The following is an 11,499-nucleotide window of genomic DNA, read 5'->3' as shown; positions in this document are numbered from 1 at the left end:
GGTGAAGTGTGAGTGGCAAGAAGCAGAGTTTATGTTCATCACTATGTAACATTCCAGACTACACAGTCAATAAATCCTTTCTGTGCCAGGCTGATACCATGAACTGCTTTATCTTAACAGGTGATGAAATACCTTGGTAATTTAAGAAAATATGATGAAAAGTAATCATGCTAATGAGATTTTGAAGATCTTTCTTTGTTTACATAGTGATCTCACAAAAAGGATACTTTTTTTCTCTTTAGTATATATAAACCATTAATAGCCATATCATTACACAAAAATATATTACTAAAAACTCTGAGTTCATATTTGTTTTCTGTCACGTAGAAATATGTTATAGTATTTCTCACTGACTTCTTTTTAACATCAGTAGGGGCTTATGTAATTGGTCATTAAATATCTTAGAGTGAAAGCTTGTGTTACTAATAATTATACAGAGAAAACAGGCATATACCAGAAGTCTCCCAGACAAATCTACTTCAAGTCTTCCATTACAGAAATTGAGCCCCATTAAATATTGTAAACTTTAAGTAAAAACTTAAATTCTGATTAAAGTAGTTCTCAAAACATTGCTAATGATCTGCCTTCAAAATATCATAAATAATCAGCTGTTACTAAGATTGGGTGTGCTATATTAAAATTTAATACAAACCTTCCTCTAAGCAAGAGCAGTAAGGCTTTGATTGGAGCCATGATTGCTAATGCCTACGTGCACCTATGCATTCCATGAGGTCTCCCTTTGCCATTGCATTTCATGAATACAACCATCCATCGGCATAATCACCTTGGGTACGTGTCTAACTAATTCAGGAATATCTTTCTGAATTTGATGTTCCAGATTTTCTTTTGCCTTCCTTAGATAAAATAGATATGCTCAACCTTCAGATAAATTTCTTCAGTGAGTGCATCCAGTTGGAATAAAACTGGCTGAGAAAATACCCTGGGGAAAGGTACTGACAAATCCCTGTAGTAGATAACCACCTATAATAGATGAATGGCTTCAAAAAATATCCCCAGTGATGAGGAGCATTTTTTAAAGAGTGCTTTCTCTTTTTAACAATGAAATTCTTAGAGAAAGAGGCACACTGTACATTGCAAGAAGTTTTAAGAAAAAGAATAGACATATTTTATACTTTGTTAATATAGTCAAGCAAGTACCAAATTTTTATATAGTATATATTATGTGCCAGGAAATTTGCAAGGTGAATTTTATCTTCGTAAATTCACAAAATCAAACAAAATTAGGTCCCTTTTATAAATTTGAATATAGGAGTGTGACACAAGAAAATTAACACATAAGCAACAATAAGGTATTTACTCTAAGTGCATCCCTTTTATTTTCTGTGACTACCTACCCCAGCCTTTTCAGATGTTTAATTGACTTAAGCACTGAGTACAACTTACACTTAAAATTATGCCTATATTTTTTAGGCAGATGAAAAGGAGGAAAAATAGAAATAGGACTAATCATTATTGGCACTACAATTTGTGCTTTAGGAAACACAATATGCTTAGCAATAAAAATTAAAATATTGGCTGGGTGCGGTGACTCACACCTCTAATCCCAGCACTTTGGGAGGCCGAGGCATGTGGATCACCTGAGGTCAGGAGTTCAAGACCAGCCTGGCTAACATGGTGAAACCCTAGCTCTGCTAAAAATACAAAATTAGCTGGGCATGGAGGTATGCACCTGCAATCCCAGTTACTCGAGAGGCTGAGGCAGGAGAATCGCTTGAACCCAGGAGGTGGAGGTTGCAGTGAGCCAAGATCGTGCCACTGCACTCCTGCCTGGGCAACAGAGTGAGACTCCATCTCCAAAAAAAATAATAAAAATATTTTTCTGGTTATATATTCACAAATTATTGCCAATTAGTGTAAAGTTAACTAAAGACATACAAAAATACATAGGATATAAACTATATTTTAAAATATATCATAATTCTTTTACATTAACTTTTAGGTACATAGATAAATAAATTGAGAGATATCCATTTTACTTATAAGAAGACACTTTTCCTTAATTAATGAAATTAACTGATGGAACTTTTAAAAGTACTACACAATGGTAAATATTAATAGTTTTCTATACTATGCAAATTTGGCCTCTTCCTTACTAACAAAATACAAATTCTGTTCAGGGTTGCAATACAGCAGACTAAAAACACCTTCACTTTTTAGTTTCCTTTCATGGCCATGTACCTCCAGATTCCTTATGTAAGAAAAATAAAACCCATGCTGTCTCAAGCTAATGAGTTGGTTTTCTGTTGCTTTTGTATAAGCCAGATTCTAATGGATGGATATATTATTAGGTTTTTTTTTTTTTTAAAAAAATGACATTTCATCTGGAAAAATAAAAAGGCCCAAAGTCAAGAAACAACAGATGTTGGCGAAATTGCAGAGAAAAAGGAATACTTACACTGTTGGTGGAAGTTTAAATTAGTTCAACCATTGTGGAAGACAGTGTGGTGATTCCTCAAAGATCTAGAGGCAGAAATACCATTCGACCCACCAATCCCATTACTGTGTTTATACCCAAAAGAATATGAATTATTCTATTATAAAGATACATGCATGTGTATGTTCATTGCAACACTATTCACAGTAGCAAAGACATAGAATCAACCCAAATGCCCATCAATAATAGACTGGATAAAGAAAATGTGGTATATATATACCATGGAGCACTATGCAGCCATAAAAAGGAATGAGATCACATCATTTGTAGGGACATAAATGGAACTGGACACCATTATTCTTAGCAAACTAATGCAGGAACAGAAAATCAAATTGCATGGTCTCACTTATAAGTGGGAGCTGAGCAATGAGAACACATGAACATGAACACATTGTGGGGGAACAACACACACTGGGGCCTTTTGCGGGAGCAGGGGAAGGGGGAGCATCTGGAAGAATAGTTAATGGGTGCTGGGCTTAATACCTAGGTGATGAGTTGATCTGTGCCGCAAACCACTATGGCACACGTTTACCTATGTAACAAACATGGACATACTGCGCACGTACCCTGGAAATTAAAGGCTGAAGGAAAAAAGTTCATATTATTTGGTTACAAAAAAATAAAAGAAAACCTCAACATAAAACATGAAGATCCAAATATAGTGTGATATATAAAAAAGAAAATATACAGTAATAGAACACAAAATGGAGTCAACAAATTCATATTTTATAGCATGAAAGTATATAAAGAAGGGAGAATAATGATTAAATTAAGCATATAAAGGTATTTATACCTTTTAGTAACTTTAGTAATTTATAATTATTAAATTCTCTATTTCAAACTAGAGAGGGAAAATAATCACATACTATTATTTAAAAAAAAAAACTATAATAGAAGAAAAATACTTTAAGATTTAACTGAAATGGAATGGAATAATTTTTCAGAATATATAAATCATATAAATGAACGTTCAAAGAGAATTTTTAAATAATAAGTATACAATTATTAGAAAAAGATAATATCAAATGTGGTTGGGAGTATACAATATGGGGATTTATTCATTCAATAATTATTTAATGAACACCAGAGTTGCACTGTTAGGGCTGAGCACTAGTGGATTATGAACTGGACATGGTCCTTCTTCTCATTTTAAAATCCATAACTATGGGGAAAAAGACAAAACTAATAATGAACATACAAATAAACTTAAAATTCAAAATTTTCTAAGGGCTACGGTGAGGAGTCAAGAGTCAACAGGTTCAATAAATAGTATAGATATATTACAAATGTATTACCTCTCCATATATAGCAACTATCCAAATATTATATTCATCCAAGCAAATGCATATACCTTGGTAAACAAAATAAAAATTAGTATGTACTTAAAATGTATTAAAAACACATCATGCCATTCCACATGTCGATGTTTTCTCTCAACGTTTTGGTATTGATGTTTATTCTTTTTTTTTTGAGACCGAGTCTCGCTCTGTCGCCCAGGTTGGAGTGCAGTGGCGTGATCTCGGCTCACTGCAAGCTCCGCCTCCGGGGTTCACGCCATTCTCCTGCCTCAGCCTCCGGAGTAGCTGGGACTACAGGCGCCCGCCACCACGCCCGGCTAATTTTTTTGTATTTTTAGTAGAGACAGGGTTTCACCATGTTAGCCAGGATGGTCTCGATCTCCTGACCTCATGATCCGCCCGCCTCGGTCTCCCAAAGTGCTGGGATTACAGGCGTGAGCCACCAAGCCCGGCCTATCTTTATTCTTGATTATTACATGCTATTCTACTCTAGGACCATAAAAATTTGTCTAGTCATAATCTGGTCCTTCCTAGTATCTTTATATTATTAAAAAATTATAAAAATCTAGACTTTTTGCATGACTTTTGTGTATAGGTGCATGAGTTTCATTAGTGTATATGCCTAGAATTTTGATTTTAGGGTTGATATATTCAATAATATTTTTAAAAATTTATACCAACATAAAATTCAGTAACATGTTTTCACATTCCTAGTTCCCTTCTGGGCTAATACTGAGCAATAGCAGACATACAATTTGGACAACTTCTGTTTGTGTGAATTGGCATCTAATTGTTTTTTAATTTTCATATCATCAGTGATTAGAAAAATTGAGATTTTTTCATGTTGATTGGCCACTAGGCTTTCCATTTCGTGAATTGCTTGTTCAGATCTTTTTATCATTTTTTTCTTTGAGTTGTCTTCTTATTTTTAATTTCTAGTTCTTTCTATATTCTGAGTATAGTTCTTTATTGGTTATATGCATCTTTCTGTCTTTGTGTATTTTTTAACTTTTTAAGCTTTTCTTGGTAATTTTAGAATTTTAATTATTCCAATTAAATGTTTCTCTATAATGGCCTTTTGTGTCTTATTTAGAAAAATTGCCTTTACCTGAATTCCACTGAGGTAGTCTCATGGTTTTCTTAATTTTAACATTTTGTTTTTCATACATAGGTCTCAAATTCATGCAGAAATATTTTTGTGTATGGTTTATAGTTAAAGTAGAAATTTAATCAAAATGCTTTCTATATGATGAACACTTGTTTCATTTCACTTATTACATAGGTCATGTTCTAATATCCCTCTAATATACCATATAATATATCCTTATATACAACTGAGGATACAGAATCTCTATTCTCTTCTACAAGGTTATCACTATCCAAATGCAATATATCCAAATGCTATGTAATTTTAATCATCAAAGTGCATTATTAAATATATCTAATGAGACAAATTAATTTCTATTTACTTTTCTTCTCTAAAACTATATTGGCTATTTTGAGCTCATTACTTTTCATAACTTTTCAAGTGAGTTTTCAAGTTCGTTAAAAATTTTGAAGGGAATTTATTTGGAATTGTGTAACAAATAGAGACTGAACATCTTACAGGACTGAGATTTCCCATGTGTGAACAAGACATAGTTTTCTATTTGGGGTAGAAGAGGTCATCTGTTGATGTATTTAATAAAAACGTAAAATATTTATCATACAGAGCTTATATTTTGTTATAATTATTCCCAGATTTTTGATAGGAATATTTCAAAGAACTCGGTTCTGCTTTTGCTGCTCCCATTGTCGTTCCCCCCATCTTCTATTTTATTAATTTCTGTTCTCATTACTACAATTTCTAATGTTATATTGTCTCTTGGTTTTCTTTATCATTCTTTTCTTTAGCTCTTGCATGGGATTCTTCACTGTTTACAATTTTGTTTCTATTCCAACAAGCATTTACATCTATCAATTTTCTTTTAATAATAATATCTATTCAGTTGCAAGTTACAATGGGTTTATATGTAGTGCTTTTGTTATACATTATTTTGTAATATCAATTTGATTCTTCTTTTTAAATCCAGAAATAGTTTATAAATGGTTTTCAATATGTATACTTCTGTGTTTTACAAAGTTGTGAAAATCATAAAATATCTATAGGATAAGAGATGGAGTAGGTGATAAATGGAACTTTTGGCAATCTCATAACAAGATTTCTGTGCATTACTCCATGTGATTTTTTTCCCCAAAACTTAATTAAATAGGCAAGACAGAAATGCATATTCTCGCTTGAGATCTCGTATTAGTCACGGTTCTCCAGAGAAAGAGGACTAATAGGATATATAGAGATGGAGAAGATGTGATTTGTTATGGAAACTGGTTTTCACGGTTATGGAGGCTAATTCCCACAATATGCTATCTGCATGCTAGACAGCCAGGAAAGCTGTTGGTGTAATTCAGTCCAAATCTGAAGGCCAGAGATCCAGAAGAACTGATCAGTGTTGGAATTTCCAGTCCAAGGTCGAAGGCTCGACAATTGAGTGGGGATGACATATGTCCAAGAATCAAGAACTAGGAGCAGAAGGTGAGCAGAGGATGGGCAGAAGATGGATGTCCCAGCTCAAGAAGAGAGAGCAAATTCATTCTTTCTCTCCCTTCTTGTTCTCTAGGTGAGGCCTCAAGGGATTAGATGACACTTGCCCATACTGGTGAGAGCTACTCAGTCTACTGATTCAAATGCTGATCTCTTCTGGACAGACCAAGAAAAAAAAAGTTTTCCCAGTTATTAGGGCATTCATTTACTCAGTTAAGTTGACACAATCATCACAGAGCTTTTCATGCCTTTTCTGTGACTACTGATTTAAATTTACAAAGTTAATGTAGACATAGTTTTAACAATTTGTCCATAAAAATCAGTTAGATATGGTTGTCTATTTGCAGAAGAATACTTTGTGAGGCCTGCAAATAAGTTGTCCCTTCCAGTTATGTTTCTGGGGATTTGTAACACTAATCTATATGTTTTATGTCACGTTGATCATTTAAACGGAGCCAAAAATCTGACTTCAGAACAATGATGATACAGAAAAGGGCTAAAGTACCATTAATTGGGTTTAAGGAGGAAGTCAGAAATAAAACAATTACTTGGAGGCAGTAAATTATACTGTTGTTTTTTCATGGCCAGCAAAATAAGCTTCTATGTATTTAGAAATACACCCTGAGTAAATCTCTTTTTTATGGTAAAATCATGCTGTGAATATAATCACCAAATATGAGCAGACTGAAAAACAATGTTAAGATACAGGTTGTACTAAGACATATCAAGATTAATTATTATTTGCCTAATTATATTTAGTAATTGCAGTCATATACTAGCAATACAGTGTTTAGCTAAATATCAGATTATTTGGCATTACATTGGTGATCCAGTTCCAAAACAAAGGTGAATCTCAGCACTTCACAATTTCTGCATTGTAGCTTTTGACTCCCCCCAAGAAATAAGATGTAAATTTTGGCATTTACAAAGCTATTCTGAAGTAATAAAATACAGTTACAAAAAAAAAAAAAAACAGAAAGATATCTGGGAATATTGCAAAGATGATAAAGGGAAAAAAGACTGAAGACAAACACTGAGGTAGAGAAAAAAGTCTGAGAAGACAGCACCAGATGACCCTGGTTTTGAAGGTGAGACCCCGCTGTGGAGGGTGCCACTGGATGCTCTTCTTTAACTCTCATCTCAGAAATGACTACATGGCTCCAAAATGTGATCTTATGATAATCAAATTTATTTTATAAGAAGTTTATTTTTACTTGAACATATTATATGCAAATTAGGAAACTTTTCAAATTACAGAAATGAAGAAATCATATAAAGTAGTACAATTTTCTACCTCAGAAACATAATAGCATAACAATTTTATTTTCTTAATTAACATATTTAATATTCAGCCACTTTATTAAATGAGACTGTACCATTTTTTCCCTTGAAGCCCAACTCTGGATACTTTTGTATCCACTGTCTCTGTAGTACATGTACACACACACACACACACACACACAGATACACAGAAACACACAAAAACTCACATACACATCTGCTCCAGAACTTTTAAAAAACAGTGTTGGTTTCTCCTAACAAGTTTGAAGATTCTCAGGAGAGATTTACACTTCACCACAAATATCATTCTAGAAGTCTTTATTATGCTTCTACCTCCCCAAAACTTCTACTCTTTAGAGTGGTTTCCCAAATTGCTCCTTTTTCTTTAATTTGTTATCTTTAGTCTTCTTCTCAATTTGTTTACTCCATTTCCCCTTAAAATCTCATTGCCTCAGTTTCTTCAAACTCCAACTTCTCTTTTCTTTTTATTCTATTTTTTGTTTGTTTGTTTTTGAGACGGAGTCTCGCTCTGTCGTCCAGGCAGGAGTGCAGTGGTGCGATCTCGGCTCACTGCAAGCTTCGCCTTCCAGGTCCACGTCATTCTCCTGCCTCAGCCTCCAGAGCAGCTGGGACTACAGGCACCCGCCACCATGCCCGGCTAATTTTTTGTATTTTTAGTAGAGACGGGGTTTCACTGTGTTAGCCAGGATGGTCTCGATCTCCTGACCTCGTAATCTGCCCGCCTCGGCCTCCCAAAGTGCTGGCTTTTTATTATTCTTAACTTGCTTTGACATGAAGTTTATATCATTTCAATAATGAAAATTTGGCAGCTCCTTCTCTTCCTGATTTTCTTAAATATAAGGCAAAATAAAAATAAATTGTTTCCATAATTTTGTATAAATATCTCTGCCAAATCGTCTCAGCATAAAGTCATTTAATTTCTATTCTTCCAAATCTGTGTGTGTGTGTGTGCGTGTGTCTGTCTGTCTGTCTGTCTGTATACACGCATACCACAATGGGATTATATTTTTCATAATGTTCTGCAGGCCACTTCTTCAAGAATTTTCACCTCAGTAAATTTTTTCTAAGCTAGTACCACCAAATTATTTAAATTTCCAAAATTTATCCCCCAAAAAACCCATTTCTGGTCATGAACCACATACTACATGTGATTATGTCTCTTGCATTTTGCCCAGGCTTTCATAGAACTTTACTTTCATTGTTTTGTTGAAATGACCAAGCCAGAATGTTCCACTTTCAGGAATTGGCTGGGTGCTCCATTGAGATACAATTTGTTTCTTTCATTTATTTTCTTTATTTCATATAAATATAAAGTTGAATTCATATCTTCAATGTGATAATAAAAGACTCAAATTAAAATTTTTAGATAGACTTGGTGATATTGTTTACCTAACATTTTATTGATTCTGCTATTTGTGACATTAAAATTTACCCTTTGCTTTAGTTATAAAATTTGGATTGAAATATGTGTGGTTTCTCAAGAATATCACCTATCCAGTTTTCCTTCAATCATACATCTAGTGATCTTAACACCAATTGTTAATTCTTAACTGAATGAGTATATTCATCAAGGTATGAAAATTTTTTTCTGCTGTGTTATTCCTTCTACATATATTAGTTGTCTTTCTTCTTTAAATTAGAGTTGTTCCATAATAACAGGGCTTTTCCTCACAAATAGTCTTGTATTCTATTACCAGATTGTTGATTGAATTCACTTATTATATTTACAGCCAGAGAAAAGGGAATGTTCGTAGATCTTACCAGAGTGTTAAGGGATAAAGGACATTGGTACTACAAATAACTGAAATAATTCAGAAAAAATAATTTGTAAATGCACATATTTTATCTCATGTATAAAGGAAGACATAACTGAAAATGGCTTAAAATATTAACACATGGTGAATCTGAGTAAATATTATATAGAAGTTGTCTGCACTAATTTGAAAATTTCCATAAATTTAAAATTGTACAGAAATAAAAAGTTACTTTTAAACACCTGAAATATGGGTGGTAACAGTTATAAGCAAATAAACTAAAAATAGTACATTTTTATCAAATGAAATGACAAAAGATATGTAATAATAAATTGCGTTTTTGAGCATGAGAACAACATACACTTTCCTAGACAGCTGGTGAGAGTATAAATTGCTGATGTTTTGTGAAGGTAGTTGGTTGATATGTCTTAGCCATAAAAGCATAGATAACCTTTTGAAGAATTCTGATTTAAGCAATTATTCCATAGAAAATAAGAAATATTTAAAAATATTTATAATTACTAAGTCCATTTTTATGTTACTATTTCCAGGAAAAATTTAAAATAGCCTTCATATACAATAAAAGCAAGTTAGATAAATTATATTGTACTTATACAAATAATTAATACATAGGCATATAAATGAAGTTAAAAAAATATTCGATAGCATTATTTTGGAAAAACTTAAGATAGGTTATATGAAAGTAGGCTACCAAAGACTATGTATGATGTATTTCCAAATTAGCTTGAAGCAAAAGGTACAGTTGTGCATGAGAATAAGCAATTAAAAAAAAGAAAAAGCATATATATATATATGGTAGCACAAAAATGTCCTTAGTATCCAAGCTCCAGGACTTTGCCTCTTAGTGTGTAGTTTGTGAACTCCCTCTATCAGCTTCACAGAGGACAGTAGTATAACGCTGTCCTCAAGTCTACTGAAACCAAAGCCCAGGGATGTGGCCTAGAAATCTGGATGTTTAAATAGCACTTTGATGAATTTGATAATGTGTTACTTTGCAATTTTTCTGAGAGTGAGACTCCAAAGATAGTCAAGGGTTTGGGAAGAGTAAATTTAAGCCAATTCAGTAAATTAGGTGATAAACAAAGAAGCTTGCTGTTTTTCTCTCTTTTTTTATGTTTTAAAACAATGAGTTTCTCCTTTTTTGCTCAAGCCCTGAACAATTTAGTTCAGAATTTGTTTTCTTACTTTGATTCTGCTGGCTTTGCCAATTCCATGAAAATCCACTTGGCACCACATTTCCTTAGAAGCTCTTGCTTTTTCTTGATTTTCTTTCTGTTCTTAGAGTCTAATATTCTAGTGTCTCACCAAATTGTTGTTGTCTCTTTCCAAAACTCCTTTAACCAAACTATCTGTATCTTCATGTAAAAGGCACCACAGACCTCCCATCACTCACTCTCCCTTAACCCCAAAATATCTATGTGTTATCCCTTACAGATGTCACTTCCTGCAAGGCCTTCCATATTAGTTGCTACAACATCACTAAAGAATTTTATTACCTGTGGCTCTGGACCTACTTCTAATATCTCTGGAGATATCCACCTTCAAACACCTGCCACATCCAGCTATGAGGGTCTAGTACCTGGGCTCCAGAGACATGTTCAGGTTAGTTCTGATTATAAGAACATTTCTCTTTTTTGCCAGAATTGTTGGAAAGTTATCTCTATTCAACAGTCTGTGTAGGATTTCAGAAGATTGAATATACATATAAATATATATACATACACACATGTATATATACACACACACATATATGTATATGTACTTTGTCCATGTCGTATTTGGTTATTCCAATTCTGGGAAAATAAATTAAGAAAATAATTAAAAGATGCACTCAAATATCGATATACAAAATGCCTATTGTAATAATACATAAAAAAAGTCAGAAGCTAACCTCGGTATCTGTATGATTTGGAGCAAGTTACTTAAACTCTTTGTGGCTATATTTTCTCAAATGTAAAATAAGGTTAATAATAGTGCTTATTTTAAAGGTAGTCATGAGTTTTAAATGAATTCATGTATTCAAAGTGGATAGAATAGTGCTTTCAAATAATATTTATTACCTAAAATTATTATTATCATCATATAAGT

Source organism: Homo sapiens, chromosome 3 (assembly GCF_000001405.40).
Source record: "Homo sapiens chromosome 3, GRCh38.p14 Primary Assembly".
Taxonomy (NCBI): Eukaryota; Metazoa; Chordata; class Mammalia; order Primates; family Hominidae; genus Homo; species Homo sapiens.
Note: the sequence above shows the minus strand (reverse complement) of the source record.